General features: G+C 37.5%; 1 long non-coding RNA gene across 1 annotated transcript in view, besides 1 other annotated feature; it reads right to left on the minus strand.

The window, feature by feature from the left end:
• Positions 1 to 2,192: 2,192 nt before the first annotated feature.
• Positions 2,193 to 18,785, minus strand: part of CASC17 (cancer susceptibility 17) — a 104,406-nt gene continuing 87,813 nt past the window's right edge. The window contains exon 4 of the long non-coding RNA NR_104152.1: positions 2,193 to 4,037. This is a non-coding gene — a long non-coding RNA (cancer susceptibility 17). The remainder of the gene's footprint in view (positions 4,038 to 18,785) is intronic.
• Positions 15,893 to 17,083: an enhancer, noted in NCBI's record as "E1 sequence from PMID:22665440". NCBI's record gives the evidence for it as "EXISTENCE:reporter gene assay evidence [ECO:0000049][PMID:22665440]".

The raw sequence follows: 18,785 nt of genomic DNA on the forward strand, positions 1-18,785 counted from the left end.
GTGTGTATGTTTGTCTGTGTATGTGTGTGTGTGTGTGTGTGTTTTAAGGCGGATAGAAAAATTGTTCTAATCACTATTGTGATTAAATTTTCCAAGGACTTGTGTCTATTTACAGTAAGGACTTATTCCTTATGTTTTGAAATACAATATGTTACCTTAAGCCCAGTAAATTTGTCTAGGCAAAAGTTTTTGATTGTGTGTGAAAGTGTTCACGATGATAACTTCAATTAGATATCTCCCCTTGTTTATTAAAAGATGTGCTTGAAACTAACACTTTAAGGATATTGCTTTTAAACTGAAGTATCTGGAGCAAAAGGAATAATTTATAATACAGGAAACTTACATGTCTAGAACTCTGTTATTCGAAGTGTGGTGCAAGGACAAGCAACATCAACATCACTTTGGAGCTTGTTAGGATCTCAGGCCGTTCCTCATCCTGATTGAATCAGATTATATATTTTAACAAGACTCCTAGGAACTAGTATATACAATAAAGTTGCAGAAACACTAGTCTGTGGAATCTATGATGTTGAAAAGTATTTGTTCTTTTGCATAGACAGACCAAATTATTGTACCTAGGAGAGTTCAGGTGCCCTGGGAAGCATAAAGCAAGATAAGATTAGATATACAAGAGCTTTATAGTAGAAGTAAGCAGATGAATGTAGGGTGAGCTTTCCAATTTCAAAACAGGTCTGACATCTGTGGGAGGAGACAAGAATGGAAGAAGAATTGGGCAAGAAGGGTCTCTACCGCAGTTCAGTTTCAAGGAAGTTTTGGCCAAGCCACTGGGAAGTTCTCACACAAAAGTCGCCCTCTGTAGAGCCCTACTATTGGTAGGAATGAGTCCCTTAGCCCCTTCTGTGTACAGTCATTGGCTGAAGGCAGCCCACAGCAACATCACCTCCATGCAAACACAGGGTTGGATCAAGATAGTTGTCAATAGATAATGTTCCCTGTCACAAGAGCTTCAAGTCATGCACTCCTACAGTCACCACATAAGGCAAAGCAAAATTTAGTAAACCTAGCAGTGGAGGAAAAAGAGAAGAGAATTTTAAGCATTAAAACTGAATAGAGGATCGGCATGGTGCCTCACACCTGTAATCCCGGCACTTTGGGAGGCCGTGGCAGGAGAATTGCTTAAGCCCAGGAGTTTGAGACTAGCTTGGGCAACATAGTGAGACCCTGTCTCTACCAAAAATTAAAACACAATTAGCTGGGCATGGTGGCTCCTGCCTGTAGTTCCAGCTATTCAGGAGGCTGAGGTGGGAGGATCGGTTGAGCCCAGGAGTTTGAGGTTGCAGTGAGCCAAGGTTGTGCCACTGCATTCCAGCCTGGGCAATAGAGTGAGGCATTTTTACATTGAGTTCACTCCTGGTGTTGTACATTCTATGGATTTTGACAAATGCATGATGACATTTACATACTATTGTAGATAGGTTGTTATCTACAATCTAGATCTCAGTAGTCTTACCAGTAGAGTAGCATTTGGCATTATTAGGCAATCTGTTTCTAAAAAACAAAAAAACAAAAAGGAGAAGAAGAAAAAGAAATAAAAACTGAATAGAATAGGAGGTGAATGGATAAACTATGATACATCCAGACAATTGAGGTATTATTCAGTACCAAAAAGAAATGAGCGATCAAGCTATGAAAAGGCATGAAAGAACCTTAAATGCATAATTACTAAGTGATAGAAGCCAATCCAAAAAGGCCACATCCTGAATGTTTTTAGCTATATTACATTCTGGAAAAGACAAAATATGGTGTCAGTAAGATCAGTGGTTGCCAGAGGTTAATGGGGAGAAAGGAATGGATGGGCAGGGCACAGAGAATGTTTAAGGCTGTGAAACTATTCTATGTGACATGACAGTGGTGTCTAGATTGTAGATAACAATATATTTACAATATTAAATAAATGTCATTATGCATTTGTGAAAATCCATAGAATGTACAACACCAAGAATGAATCTTAATGTAAACTGTGGACTTTCGGTTGATGATGATGTGTCAATGTAGGTTCATTGATTGCAACAAAGGTACCACTCTGGGGTGTGATATTGATAGTGGGGGAGGCTGTGCTGTTTAGGAGCAGGGGATATATGGGAACTCTCTGTACTTTCTGCTCAATTATGCTTTGAACCTAAAATTGCCATAAAAATAAAATCTATTTGTAAAAAAATGAACAGAGAGAGTGATCATTCAGATTATTTTATTTCATCTTTGTCTTTGATGGGCTGAAGTCACCTAGCCAGAAAAACAAAACTTGTAGAATCCTCTTTGGTTACTGAATACATGCTCCATGACAGCTTGGATTTCCCTGCTCCAGAGACCCCAACAGGGGCTACTATCTGTTTTAGTAGCAGAGGTGGCTTAGAGTTCAGCAGAGCAGTGCAGATAGCTTCCTTCTTGAGAAAGTTTCTCTTTTTTATTATATAATCTGTTATTTAAGAGACTACAAGAAAAAAAAAATACGTTCCCCGATTGAAAAAAGAAAGAAAAACCTGAGCATTACAGGTGTAGACTTGAGTCACTAAAGAAACAATGATTATTAGGGTTATTAAATAATTCTTAGAAACTTCAAAATGTTCCTTGTCAACAGAGACCCAGAGTAAGTATTAAGAGAAGAACACAGGTGCACGGTCCCCACAGCAGCCTTATCAGTAGGGCGGCATTTGGCACCATCTTTAGGGATGTGGTCACATCACTCAGGCTCTTTGATCTCAGAACCTTCATCTTTGAAGAGCAAAGAAGCATTCATGTTTACTTTTCACTTCCTTTACACCTAAACATTACTCTCAGTATACTCGAGAAATCATTAATGATGATAGCTTCCGGGGGATCAAACACTCTAAGAGCATTTAGAAAATAAAAGTCATTTAGAAAATAATAATGTCATATTTATCCCTTTGAAGAGCTGGCTGATGTAGCAACTGAGGTTTACAATAGGAATTAACAACAGATTTCTTTGATTAAAGTGCCATGAGGGGCACTTGATATCTACACAATTTATTAGGTAGTTAACTTCTCTTGCAGAATAATAAGCTGAGACACGTATTAAGCACTTACAGTGTGACATCTACACTGCTTGGTCCTTCGCATGCACCCTTTTATCTAATTCTTACAATAGATTGACGATAAGGTAATATTATCTCCATTTAAAGAAACCCTTGGACACGGATTTAAGAAATTAGCCTAAGGTCGACATTTAGTAAATAGTGGAAGAAATATGAGCCAGAGAGAAGTACTAAGTGGTTCTTCTATGTTGGATGTGTACCAGAATCATGGAGAAAGTTTATTAAATTGCACATCTGTAGGCCAGCATCAGGGTTTTTTATTAGGGCCTGGGGTTGTGTCTGACCGTCTGATATATTTAGAAGATTCTGGAAGGAATCTGATATAACTAAGAACATCAGAACAACTGATGTAAGTCTGCAATGCTGGGAGGTCAATTTCTCCACCATTGTCATTCTGCAGGAGTTTATCTGTTCTTGGATCTGATTTAGTTTTTGGAAAGCTTTAGTGAATGATGCGTAAGTCTCCCTTTTTGGCAATGCGTTCAGCAGTTGCCTGGTTTATATGCTTCTTCCTCTTGGCAGAACTCAGTATTCACGTATTGAATATTGTTTACTAGCCTCCTTGGGTGGAGAGATTAATTATTTATTTCTACAGCCTTGGCTTCATTGATCCTCCTGATAGGACTCATGCCAGAGAATGAGTGTGAATCTTCCTGCTCAGATTAGAGGCTTGGGCTGCTTTGTAAAAATGATACTCTACTTCAGCCCTCCAAATCCACACAAAGGCTTTCCAACAATTTGTATACACCTAATTCCGGCCCCCACTTCCTCTTCTAGTCTGGAGAAAGGATAAAATTCTTAAACCACCTGGTAGGGTAGGGAAGATTAGACAAAGGGAGTATAACACAGAAATGAGGGAATAGAGTTGGTCACTTCTGGCCTCTCTCCAGTTTCCTTTTCTCTCTGTTCTTTGAGATGTAGAAACATCATGGGTTTAGATTAACGTATTCTTGGCATTGTTTCCTGTTTCAAAGAAAAAGAAGGGATGTCAGTGGTATCTGATATCAAATAATTTAACCAGAAGGGTAGCTAAGCTAAAGCAAAGTGAGTCCAGGCTCATTTTTCAACAGGCTAAAATGAAGAAAAGGAAAGCTTTAGATATCATTCATTTTGATCCAAAGCATGTTGACCAAACACCTATTAAGTACTTTGAAATGTTCCTGTTATAATATGGGCTGCAAATACATGGGTATTGAATGACTTTATTAGTGAAGGCATTGTGTTGTAGACAAATATGAATGAAGGCTGGTATTTGCCTTTAAGAGTTTAATTGGGCTTTTGTATTGGGGGTGCAGGCAGGCACGTGCAAAATATTTGGGCTACTAGCTCCAGCTTAAGGCAGAACATGATATAGTGGAGGCAGAGGGTACTATGAAGTTACAACAGGCAGAAAAATGTGTTTTGATCAAGAGGTTTGATAATGAAGGAACAGGCTTTTGATGTCCAAATTGAATTTCATTAAAGCTTCAGATAAATATTCTCCTGGAATAGTTTGAGGGTCATTCTGACATAGGAAATATGAACTCTGCAGTGAGAAAGAGAAGCTGGATAGGAAAGCAGGCTCTCAGAGAATTTTCCTCAGTCTATTACCAAAGGTTCAAGGCTGCAATCTTCTGGCATGTGTCAGGAATAAAACACACACATACACACACACACACACACACACACACACACACACACACAAACTCAAACAAGATTGCAGAAGATGTGTTCTGATTTAATCTAGGTGTCAAGTCTTTGATGCCATGGATTAAGTGGGTGGCTTAAATTAAAAAAAAAAATTTCTGTATAGTTCCAAAGGCTAGAAGTTCAAAACCAAGGTGGCTGCAGGGAGAATCTGTACCACATCTCTTTCTTAGATTTTGCTGGTTGACATCAATCTCTGGTGTTACTTGGCTTTATAAACACATAACTCCAATCTCTGCCTCCATCTTCACATGGCATTCTTCCCTGTGTCTCCCTTCATTTCATATGGCCTTCTTATGAGGATACCAGCCACTGATTTAGGGCCTAGTATTACCTCATCTTAACTAATTACATCAGCAAAGGCCCTATTTCCAAGTAAGATCACAGTTGAGGTTCCATGTGGATGTGAATTTTGGGAGACAATTCAACTGTGTTAGTCTGCTTGCATTGCCATAAAGGAATATCTGAGATTGGGTAATTTTTAAAGAAAAGAGGCTTATTTTGGCTCATGGCTCTGCAGTCTGTACATGAAGCCTGATGCAGGCATCTGTTTCTGGTGAGGCTTCAGGAAGCTTTCAATCATGGTGGAAGGCAAAGGGGGATCCGGCATATCACATGGCAAGAAGGAGAGAGCTGGGTCAGGTGCCACACTCTTTTACACAACTAGATCTCCTATCAACTCAGAGTGAGAACTCGTACATTATTATGAGGTGGGCACCAAGGCATTCATGAGGGATCTATCCCCATGACCCAATCACCTCGCACCAGGCCCTACCTTCAACAATGGGGATGACATTTAAACATGAGATTTGAGGGGACAAACGTTCAAACCATATCACTAACCCAGTCAATGGGGTCAAGTTTTTGAGACTGCAATTTAAAGACTATAACATTACTACCAATTTAGGCTAATTTCCAGAATTCTGTAAAACCTGGGTAGAGAGAAACAAAGAAAATATCCATATGTTAGAATTGAAAGCTGATTGAAATTAAAGAGACGAAAGCCTTTACGAAGTGCCTGGGGAATCAGGAGGTCTGATTCAGGAGCAAAAATGAGCCCACTACAGGAAGATGAAGAAATCTAAGTTTCATAAGACTTGACATAGGGGAAAAAATGGTTTTCACATAGGTAATGCCATAGTTATGAAATGAAAATGCCTGTCCTTTCTACTCTCAAACAGGTTGCTGATATAGACCTATCTCCAAATCCTAATGGGTCTGAGGCTTATTGATATTCCTATGGTATTTTTCCTTATTGTGAGAAAAGGATTGAGCAGTCCTCAGTTTCCTGGTTATTTTTGTTAGCACTGAAGATACAACCATAGTCATGCATTCCTCAATGATGGTGATATACATATATTCTGAGAAGTGCATTGTTAGGTGATTTCATGATCTTGCAAACATCATAGAATGTACTTACACAAATCTAGATGGTACAGCCTACTACACACCTAGGCTACGTGGTGTAGCCTATCACTCCTAAGCTACAAACCTAAGTATTAGTGTATCTAAACATACAAAAGGTAAAGTAAAAATATGGTATTATAATTTTATAGTACCACTGTCACATATGCAGTCCATCATTGACCAAGACATCATTATTCAGTGCATGACTGTAGTATAAAAATGGAACTGGCTATCAATCTGAGCGTTGAAAAGTGGAGAGAGTTTTATAAATCGAGATGAAGGACTTTCCGGCTGAAAGATCAGTGTATTTCCAGAATGAGAAAGTGAATGTTGTGTTCAGCCTTACAAATTTTCCAGCATAGCAAAAATGCACTCACATGGTAAGATCTAATGGGACAGGATTCTGAGAACTTATGTCAGAGGCAGATAATAGATGACTTGGATTTAAAGGCTAAGAAAGAAATGTGACTTTTTTTTTTTTTTTTTTTTTTGAGACGGAGTCTCGCTCTGTCGCCCAGGCTGGAGTGCAGTGGCGTGATCTCGGCTCACTGCAACCTCCGCCTCCTCGGTTCAAGCCATTCTCCTGCCTCAGCTTCCCGAGTAGCTGAGACTACAGACGTGTGCCACCACACCCAGCTAATTTTTGTATTTTTAGTAGAGGCGGGGTTTCATCATGTTGGCCAGGATGATCTCGATCTCTTGACCTTGTGATCTGCCCGCCTTGGCCTCTCAAAGTGCTGGGATTACAGGCGTGAGCCACCGTGCCCCGCCAGGAAGGATTTTTTAAACTCTAATAGATGTGAGGAATTAGTTAGACTAGAACATGTGTGTACACTTAGCAGAAGTCTGTAAGAGAAAAGTTATGTAGAAACTAATAGGAGGTAATCGAATAGAGTGTAACTTGTAGTTAACAGGAAAAAAAGAGATTATGGCCAAGCTAAAGGTTGGTTTTAAAAAACATTAAGGTATATGTATATTTAAAACAAGAAACATAAACTAAAAAATAAGAACTAGAAAAGACTAGTTGGTTTAAGAAAGAAATTCTGAGATGGAGAGGAGATACATAAAAATATTTCATAATGGATGGATTTCATTTTGTCAGTAAATTGAAATGAGATAATCAAGGGAGGGAAAGATGAAATAAATCAAGACTTCTGGTGATATGATAGCATGTTTGAAATATGTGTCACTGGATCACAGCTGGGAACAGCCACATGAGACTCAGGAGGGCCAGAAGGCCTAGAGGAAAGAGAAGTTGAATGATTAGACATTTCAATCATTGTTAAGAACACATTCAGTGGGAGTAAAAAAAGTGGGAGAGGTGAAAAGAGAGTGTGATCAGGAACATAAACCATTTATATCATTACTCAACTCTTTATTTTTTTATATTTTTATGTTTTATGCAAATGGAAACTGGCCTTTTTTTTTAAATTTGCATTTAAAAAAACTGCTGGGCATTTAAAGGGTTGGTTCCAAGTCTTTGCTATCGTGAACAGTGCTGCAATTGGGGAGTTGAACAATGAGAACACACGGACACAGGGAGGGGAACATCACACACTGGGGCCTGTTGGGGGGTGGGGGACTAGGGGAGGGATAGCATTAGGAGAAATACCTAATGTAGATGATGGGTTGATTTGTTGGGTGCAGCAAACAACCATGGCACGTGTATACCTATGTAACAAACCTGCACATTCTGCACATGTACCCCAGAACTAAAAGTATAACAACAATAACAAAAAAATTGCACAGAACTGGCTACTGGTCATATCGGGAAGACAGGTATCTGGCCCTAGGAAAGCCCAGGAGATAGCCAAAACGCATAGAGAACTGACAAAGTGTGGTAATGCTAAGTAGCTAGAACAACGGTAAGGTTAACTTTTTCTGGGAGTTGGATAGAAGGAATAGAGACAATCAGCCACTGTGTATTAAGACAAAGATGGAACAGGCACACTAAAAGCAATTGAGATAGCATAAAGAGAGATCATCCAAACCGAGAAGAGATGGAGAGTTGGTTTTGTAGTTCTGACCCACGTGTATCTTTAAAATAAACTCTATTTTTTAAGTAGTATAATTATGTTGTCAATCTTGCCTAACAGAGTTAAAAATAAATACATGAAGAATAGGGATCACACAAGTTTGATGAGTCCCATGAATGGAGGCAACTTCAGTTGCGTGTTGTGTGCAACTTAATTCTCCATGTGCATTTGCCTCTTATGAGAACTTGGACCATCTTTCATCACCTCTGCAGCAATCTGCTGCAGCTTTTAGGCAATATGTTAAACTTAACACACCTGACCTGAGTTTTGAATCCACAGCAACAGTAGGGCAGCACCTCCTTAAAAGAATTGCTTCATGTTTGGAGAGAAATTAGCAAAGCTATGGGTACTTATCTGCATAAGTACCCATTAGATTTTTTCACAGAAACAAAAAGTATTTGGAAAACAGCACCGTGGAAAAACCAATTATTCTTTCAACACTACACATATTTGGATTGCTATGAGCTAGAATATGATGTGGGTGTACAGAATGGACTGCACCAACTCCCCTAGCAAAGCTAATATAGGGACCTGGGACATTTGATTTTTGCTTGCAAAGTGATACATCTGTAGTACTCCAAAGAGAGTCAAAAAAATGTAGAGGCTCTCAGATTTCTTTCTTTGTGCATTTCTCCTTCCTGTTGAATGTTGGGAGGAGTTGACCAGCCTCCAGGGATTAAGACATTCAAAGTGGTCAGTAATTTCCATAATAGGATTCAGTGATCAGATTCAAAAGCAAAGAACAACTAATAGGAAAGGATAAGAAGGATGAATGGCTGTTATAGAGTAGGCTCTGTAAGTTGAGAAATAGAGCATTCTTGAAGAGAGCATTTCATTAGCCCTCAAGACATATACAAATACTAGATATTATGTGAAGGTGAGGAAGTCTTGATGTCTTCTTGTCTTATGGAAGAATTTTTATTCTAATAATGGGTTACAAGATTGAAAGAAGAACAAAGACATTTTGAATGGGACAAAAATTGAAATTAAAAAATCAGCATTCATCTGTTGGAACAAAGTTTTGAGAGCAAATGGAGCTCTCAGAATAGGCAGAAAGAAAGAAGCTAGGCCAGATTAATTGTGGAGCTTGGCTTTTATTGAATCAGTGATGTCTAGAGCCATGTTTACAATATTTTTCTGAAAAATTTATTAGCTTACTTCTTTCATGGCAGAAATACTAAATAAGGGGTTTAGGTTAAAAATCTCTCTCAATCTATCTCACAATTCTTGCTTGTTCTCTTGACCATACGCTTGCATGCATTTTTTATGTTTTAGGTAGTGATATAATGCTTGAATGTAAATAATGTACAGGATAAAACAGGCTATGGAGTCAGACAGATCCAGTTTCAACTCTCCATTTGTTGCTTACTAAGCTTTGTGATCTCAAACTTTTGAGCCTCATGTTCTTCATCTGTAAAAAGAGAGATATAAAGCATACCTGGGGAGAATTAAAATAATATGAATACACACATACACATATATTCATGCATACAGCTATGTACATATACACATATATATACATGCACAAATGTTTCTGTGTATGCACAGGTGTGTGTATATCATAATGCATGATTTCAGTAAATGGTAACTAAAAGCTGGCTGGGTTTTCTCTGCATTGGAGAAAGCAGTTGCCCTTCTTTACTTAGACCAACATTGACTATAATCCAAAGTAATAGGGAGCTGCAAGCCTCGATACATCCATATCTTCTCTGTTTCCTATTATTATAGAGGGTAATTATGCACCACTGCTTGGAAATTTATTAAAATTGTCTTTTTGAAGTTTGGGAAGAAATTAGGTCAAAATCAATTTATCATATAGCATAAAATACTTGTCTGTATTGAAAAGAGGTTATTTTTTAAGCAATGAGAAAAGAACTCCCTATTCAATAAATGTTGCTGGGACAGCTGGTAGCTGTATGCAGAAGAATAACTGGACCCATACCCTTTACCATATACAAAAATTAACTCAAAACGAACGAAAGATTTAAATGTAAGATCTCAAACGATAAGAATCTTAGAAGAATACCTAGGAAACCCCATTCTGGATATCTGTCTTGGAAAAAAATTTATGACTAAGTCCCCAAAAGCAATGGCAACAAAAACAAAAATTGACAAGTGGGACCTAATGAAACTAAAGATCTTCTGCACAGCAAAAGAAACTAGCCAAAGAGTGAACAGACAACCTACAGAATGGGAGAATATATTCACAAACTACACATCCAATAAAGATCTAATATCCAGAATTTGTAAGAAGCATAAACAATTGAAGAAGCAAAAAGAAAATAACTCCATTAAAAAGTGGGCAAAAGACATGAACAGACACTTCTCAAAAGAAGACATACAAATGGCCAAAAAACATATGAAAAATGCTGAACATCATTAATGATCAGAAGAATGCAAATCAAAACCACAATGAGATGTTATCTTACACCAGTCAGAATGGCTATTACTAAAAAGTCAAAAAACAACAGATGTTGGCAAGGTATGGAGAAAAAGGAATGCTTATACATGGTTGGTGGGAATGTGAACTAGTTCAGCCACTGTGGAAAGCATTTTGGAGATTTCTCAAAGAACTTAAAACAGAACTACCATTTGACCCAGTAACACCCATTATTGGGCATATATCCAAAAGAAAAGAAATTGTTCTACCAAAAAGACACATGTATTTGAATATTTGTCACAGCACTATTTACAATAGCAAAAATGTGGAATCAACCTAAGCTCCCATCAATAGTTAATTTGATAAAAAAAAAAAGCGGTACATATACATCATGTAAAACTACAAGCCATAAAAAAGAACGAAATCATTTCCTTTGCAGTAACATGGATGCAGCTGGAGATCATTATCTTAAGCAAATTAATGCAGGAATGGAAAATCAAATACTGTATGTTCTCACTTATAAGTGGGAGCTAAACGTAGGATACTCATGGACATAAAGATGGTAACAGTAGACACTGAGAACCACTCAAAGAGAGAAGGAAGGGAGCAAGGGTTGAAAAACTACTTATTGGATACTATGCTCAGTACCTGGGTGAGGGATCATTTGTATCCTAAACTGCAGAATCACACAATATATTCATATAACAAACCTGCATATGTACCCCTGAATCTAAAAGTTGAAATTATTTTTGGTGAAACCCTATCTCTACTAAAAATACAAAATTAGCTGGGTGTGGTGGCGTGCACCTGTAATCCCAGCTACTCAGGAGGCTGAGGCAGGAGAATCGCTTGAACCCGGGAGGAGGAGCTTGCAGTGAGCCGAGATCGCATCATTGCACTCCAGCCTGGACAAACAAGAGCGAAACTCCATCTCAAAAACAAAAACAAACAAACAAACAAACAAAAAAGGCATTTTTTATTATTACTTCAAATTCTTATTTTTATTGAGCCTGTCTACAATCCAATCAGTATTTCAGAAACATGTTCAGTATAGAGAGTTGCAGCTCTGTGACTGTCTTTCAAAAGTTCAGAAGGAATAGAGTTTTCTTGCCAGTGATGCAACCTCAAATTTCACCCAATATGATAACTAGCCAAGCATGTTCTTTGTGATGATCTTTCCAATCGTGCAGTGTAAAATGAATCATCCTATTCCCAATAGAATCCAACTAAGTCTTGCATAGGGTTTATCTATTTGAACAGATAAGTCATTTTGTGAATATGATGTAGGGATTCCTCCTAAGTGAAAAGTGGTGACTCCTGATAACATGGCTTAGGAAATTAAACCTAATTTATATTATTTTCTTTTTAAGAGACCTGCTAAAAAGCAGACACAGAGTAGAGATGCATATTAGTGTCTATTAACTTTGGGGATTTGCAGAGGAATAGTAAAGTGTTGCTTTGGGTATCTTTTAAAACTTTAAAAGAGTTTAATTTTTGTCTGTATTGCCAAATCAGATTAGAAAGAGCTAAGTTCCATTAGATAATTGGCATGTGAGGTATGAAAATGAATTGTCCCTAGAATAAAAAGATTTTTTTTTGAGAATGGGGGTAGGGGTGAGAAGGTAAGTAACAAATAGTGCACATGAGGTGAAGCAGAGGAGAAAACCTAGATGGCGGTGGTGTTTTCCATAGAAGAAATGCATCAGCATTGTAAGGCAATCTTATATATGTTAAAAATAAAAATAAAAATAGAGAAGTATACATAAATAATAAAAAATTTAAAGTTTTATTCCAAATCAGCTTCAGATTTAAAATGCGTTTGTGTGTGTACTTATACAAAAATAAAACATTTGAAAAAAGTAAAAAAGGGATGTTAATAGTATTACCCCATAGACTTGTTATGAAATTAAATGGAATACTATACATAATGTACTTAGCAAATAAATGCATGCTAGCATTACTTCATTATTTACAGTATTTCAAAATTAAAGTACCCTCCTGTGCCCCATTTCTCGTTCCCTCTCCAGAAGCAACAGCTGTGGTGAATTTGATGTACAACCTTACTGTCTACATGGAAAATACTAACATTTTGGTGCCTTTATTCAGGTCTGCATGGGTGCATGTACCCACACATGTTGTGCTTTAACTTTTACATAAGTAAGAAAATATTCATGTCTTCTTAGCTTGTTTTTTTCACTCAATTTAGTGTTTTGTTTTGTTTTGACAGAGTCTGACTCTGTTGCCCAGGCTGGAGTGCATTGACACAATCATGGCTCACTGCAGCCTTGACCTCCTTGGCTCAAGTGACCCTCCCACTTCAGTTTCCCAGTATCTGGGACTACAGGCACATGACATCACACCCGGCTAATTTTTAAATTTTTCATAGAGATGGGGTTTCACCATGTTGCCTAGGATGTCAATTTAGTTCTTAAAAATGATCCATCCTGACACATACGGCTCTAGCTCGTTTCTTTTGAGTGTTATTCATTACTCTGTCACATAAAAATCCCATATTTCATTTACCTTCTTCCTTTTAATGAACTTTTAGGTCATTTCTGACTTAGGGCAATTGCAGTCAGAGCTATCATGAATATCCTCATGCATGCATCGTTTTGACATGGCTCAGAGTTTCATTTTTTGTTGGTTTTAAATAAATTATATACTTAGAAATGGACTTTCTGGGTTATAAGACATGCACATTTTTAGTTTTGCTAGTTATTACCACATACCTTCCAGCAAGTGTTCTAAAATATCCTTAAGAGTTTTATGAAAATTCCTGTTTACCTATCTCTCTGATCACAAGTGGTAATAGCATACTTCCTAATTTTTAGTTTCACAAATGGCATTTTACTTTAATTTGACTTGTATTTCCCCAATTACCAATGAAACTGAACATCTTTTCCCATTCTTTAAATATTTGGATTTAGTTTTTGAAAAGCTTTTTCAAATATTTTGCTTAATTTTTCTCCTGAGTTATTTGCCATTTTTCTCATTGACTTGTTGGTCTTTATACTGAATAGTAATCTCTTGTTGCTTGTATATTATGGTTTAACTTTGCTTATGATATCTGTGGTTATACAACTTTTTTAACTTTGAAATAGTCACGTTTATTATTTTCTTATTTTATGCCTTAAGCTTTATTTTATCCTTTTGCTTGCAATTGTGTTTTGGTATGTTTTTATGTACTTCAATGGTTCTCAATATTTAGCACGCATTAACAATAATACGAAGAGCTTGTTAAAATTACTGAACCTCTGGCCACTTTTTCTTGAAGATTCAGGAGTTCCAAGGTGCGCAAGAGCATAGAAAGTCATACAAGGTGATCTGCAAACACACTTTGGGAATTACTGCAGTGCACCATATTGGAATCACCATTGGCCAGAAGACCAGAGGACTGCCCTTCATTGAATTATTGTCTTTTTAAAAAAAAATCATTATTTTGGGCTTCCTTGTCTGAACAAGCTACGAATATGGGAAAATGCTTAGAGACAAATGTACAGATTAACTTTGAGGGAATGTTGTTTATTTTTCAGTCCTTCCAAGTGTTCCTGAAACAAGGAGATATTTGAAGTCTCTCCAGCCTGATATCCCCAGTGGAAATAAGTCAATGTTGGAACAAGAAGTATGAGCAACCAGAATTTAAAAAAATCTTGCTAAGGTATATTTTCATTATTTTATTCATGTCTTTTGGTGAGTTTTTTTTAAAAAAAAAATTCCTTCAAACAGCTATTGCGCAATGAAAAGTTAAGTAGAGCGTGGAGTATTTAGGACACAGGCTTTTAATAAAAACAATGTAAGGAATTAAAAAAAAAAGTCAAAGAACATTATAAAAACCTGGAGCATCAGGAAAAATAGTTTTCCTAACTTTAAGGAATTTAAGAGAGATCGGACATAGGCATTTTCCTTGTTCTCAGCCAGATTTATTTCTCATTTGTATTTATGTGCAATATCAAATGTTTTAATGTTGTGGATTTGTCCTGAATGCCATTAATAAAGTGGCTTCCTGTCTTAGCTAAGGTAAGCTATTCACCCAATTTAGGAAATAACTGATCCATGTTTTGAGACAAAGCTCTTTTGTTTAAAGAACCTTAGGATTAGAATGACAACCAAGGGACATTTGACCCAAATCCCAGAAAGTCCTGAGAATGGATTTTCTCTGTTTAGCGCATTGCTGCAGTTGAAAACACTAAAACAGAAGAGAAATGTTCAGGAGAAAAACTCCCATTTACCCAACAGAAGTAACGGAACTGATATATTCTTTCCACAAAGGCTTTGTTTATACCCCTCTGAGGAATAGATGGATTCTAGTTAGGTGTTTTGGTCAGTTTATTAAGAAGTTGACTCAGGTCGCAAATCTTTAGGAAGTGTTGAAAGGTGAGTCATTTCAGACATGTCAATCCTGTTGCAACAAACAGCACACATTTGCTTACTTTGAATAGTTATAGAAAGAAAGACATTAGATGTAAAAAAATTAGATGTGAATTGATTATGAAAATGAAGGTAGAATGAAATGGATGAAAACAGCACAAGGCCAGAGAAGAATATCTTTCTGCACTTTTAATATTGTCATCCCGTGCTAACATTTTTTTTTTTTTTGAGATGGAGTCTCCCTCTGTTGCCCAGGCTGGAGTTCAGTGGCATGATCTTGGCTCACTGCAACCTCCACCTCTGGGGTTCAAGCAATTCTCCTGCCTCAGCCTCCCAAGAAGCTGCGGCTATAGGCATGCACCACCGCACCCAACTAATTTTTTTTTTTTTTTTTATTTTTAGTAGAGACGGGGTTTCACCATGTTGGCCAGGCTGGTCACGAACTCCTGACCTCAAGTGATCCATCCACCTTGGCCTCCCAAAGTGCTGAGATTACAGGCATGAGCTGCCACGCCTAGCTCATCCCATGCTATCTTACACATTCCTACTCTTCCCCTTCCCCTCACACTTCTATCCATTAGAAGGAATCAATGGGGAGCTTTAGGATTCCACATGAACTCATCGAGTAAATCATACAATTTGCTTGTTGGAGAAAGTGTACCTTAAACTCTAAAATGAATGTGACCTTTATACTGAGAATGGTAAAAATATTCTAAAAATGAACAACGTTTAAAGCTACATTATCTATTTTTGCTGTACTCCAAGTTGATATTGAAGATGCTGAATAGATAGGTTTTGCAATGTCAATGTGATTTTGGTAAGTAAATGAAAGAAGGATTCCAAGTGAACAATTCCATCATACTTTCATCATAGACTTTTGAAGGCCTCAAATATACATGCATAGTTTTTCAAGAGCCTTTATAAAACATTTAATTTCTGCTTAACAACTCATTGGCGGACAGAAAATTTTTCAGTGATCTATTTTTCAATGAACACAGACAGCCAGAATGTCAAACAAAGACTAAAATTTAGGGGATCTGACTTCAGTCTGGCCAGTTTAGCCCATAACACTGTGAATGGCCACATGCCTCACCTTGCTCCTGGACTTTGACAGTAAATATTTGAATGGTAGAACCGGTGAGAACCTGAATAGTAAATATTTTATGAGAGGAAATAGGAACTCCCCTTTTCTCTGTCCTTCCCTTACATTAAACATATTAATTTATATTAACTGGAAACATATAATTCTCTATTTACCCCTGTCAATAATTAGTCATCATTTGAATCCTGAATCCTGCTTCTATCACAAATAAGATTTCTTTTTGGCAGACTGTGATAGATCTGAAAATCAGCTAACAAGGCATGCAACACTTGACTGAGAAAAATCAGAAGACTTAAATAATATACAGTGCACATGGATAATTTATTCTCTGATGACAAGGGTATCAATATATTCATTCTTTTCTCTCTTCCATCTCATCAAATTCCATCTTTCTTTAAGTGACTAAATAAGTGACATCCTAGGCTGTGGACTCTCTGCCTACTCTGCTTTTAGAATATTTGACCGAGCCTTTCCTCTTTTTCTCCGAGGGACAACAGCTGGTTTTCATTATGCATCAGATTATGATACACAACAAAAAGAAAATGGTCAAAATGAATACAAAGGGAGTTCTGCTAATACTCTAGTTTGTTCTTGGGGGTGTCAAGGTGAAGAATCCATACTGTTCTGTAGACCACTGTAAACTTAATCCATTTCATCATATACAGGAGTAAAATTCAGCAGTATTTTGTTAATCTTTGCTGCCCTTATTTACTGTGGGAGAGGCGCTTTGGTTTTTCCTCTTCTTCCTTTGGTATAGCACTAATGTATTTTATATGTCTTTAATCTCAGTTCCAGTTCTGTCAATATTTGAGCTTATCTTAAACCGAAGAACTCCAAAGGAGAGTCAAAGAAAGTAAATTCTCACCCCGGAAGGCAAATAACAATTATTTCATTAAACATTCAAATCACAAAGAACACCTTGGACCAGTTCTTGATATAAATAAGAGGCTGCAGACTTTTCCAAATCCCTGCCCGTGGGATGAACACTTTAAAGGTCCCAAGATTTCTAATAATGGGGCTAAATTTCCCAAAATGTGTTTTTCTGCTAAAAAATCCAGTAACAAGGAACTGTACAAATTCTAATCTCTGTATGAGTCTTCATCTTTGGAATGCCTATTCCTGAAGATGAGAGATGGATAGTAGGAACCTATGTATCGATCTGGGTTAGCCCACTGGGCTCATTAATGAAATATCACTGGGAGGAGCAGCCCAGCATCCTATACGTGAGCCAAGCATTTAGAATTGCCTTTAGGATTCTTCACACTGTTAGCAGCCAAGAACACAGAATCAAGTTCGGATCACAATTATGGATGCTACCAGGGGTATCATAGTTGCTCAGCCTGTTCAAACAAGTATTGGTTTTTTTCATAAGCTTCACTTTCATAAACTCTGGAGGTTGTGTTTCCATAATAAAAGTGAGCTCAACCTTAACAAAAACATTGCATAAAGCCACACTTTTTGTTTTCTAAACCGTAACTAATTAAGCACTAGGTGGGTGACCAGGTCTAGCTGATGAGTATTTGCTGTTAATCTGGGCTTTCCCATTCCCTATAGGGCAGGAAAACACACGTGTGCATGCACACACACACAAACACACACACACAAAGACAACCATATACACAAGCATATAATATTAAAGATTGAGGTAGCTGGATGTTTTTCACATCTTCCCTTCCTTCTGGATCCTAGCAGGGATAGTAAAGAGATACAAACATTCTCTGAGCATAATAACTTAAGGTGATTGTTCATATGGACAGTGTGAACATTCAGTTGGTTTGCAGATTCCACACTCTGAGGGCAGATTCCACACATTGTCTTGACTCTTTTTCCTTCTCATTCTTTCTGCTTTTACACCACTGATGACCCTGTCTCCATCCTGCTGGGAAGTAATTAGTGCTGAAGGAATGACAACTCTAGCACATAAGTGGCAGGGCCATGAGGATGAGAAGCAAAAAAAGAAAAAACGGAAGGGGCCATGGGGGAACTAAATCAAGGCAGCTGGAGGCAGGGGCACCTTCCTCTGGATGCTGCGAATGGAATAGCCATCCGGGTGCCCCGAAGGTCAAGTACTGAGATCCTGAATTTACATAGAAACCAAAAGAGTCAAATCTAGTGACAGAGGAGAAAGCCGTGCTGTCCAGTGGAATGTTCTTTAATGAGGCAACATCCTATAATCTGCATTGTGCAAAGTGGCGTCCACTCATCACAGATGGCTAGTGAGCACATTAAATGTGGTTAGTGAAACTGAGGAGCTGAAATTTTGGAGCAAAACTGAGTTTTTAAAAATAATTTCGATTAATTTGAATAGCCACATACAGCCAAGGGCCATCATTCTGGACAGTGCAGGAACAGAGAAATCACTCACAATTTCTCATCTCTTTTTGTGAACACTTTAGCAGGCTGGTACAAATGACATGAACACCAGATAAAGGGTTGCTTATATATTATTACAGATACTTTGTATTTGGTGAACATAAAGAACACCTGGTACTTAGATTTCCCTTCAAGTCTGCAGTAGGCCTGAAAATATTAATAAATGCATGTATCCAAACAAAATAGTAGCAAAGCTACCCATGTTAAGCAAAGGCTTTAGAATCAGATGGGATTGAGTTGACATCCTAGTCTCCAGACATTCTGGTTCTATGATCTTAGATGAGATATTGAAAGTATCTCATCCTTTGTTGCCTCATCTGCCAAAATAGAATTAAAATGTCCCATTCATTGGAATGTGA

The sequence above is a fragment of the Homo sapiens genome, chromosome 17, assembly GCF_000001405.40.
Source record: "Homo sapiens chromosome 17, GRCh38.p14 Primary Assembly".
NCBI classification, from domain to species: domain Eukaryota; kingdom Metazoa; phylum Chordata; class Mammalia; order Primates; family Hominidae; genus Homo; species Homo sapiens.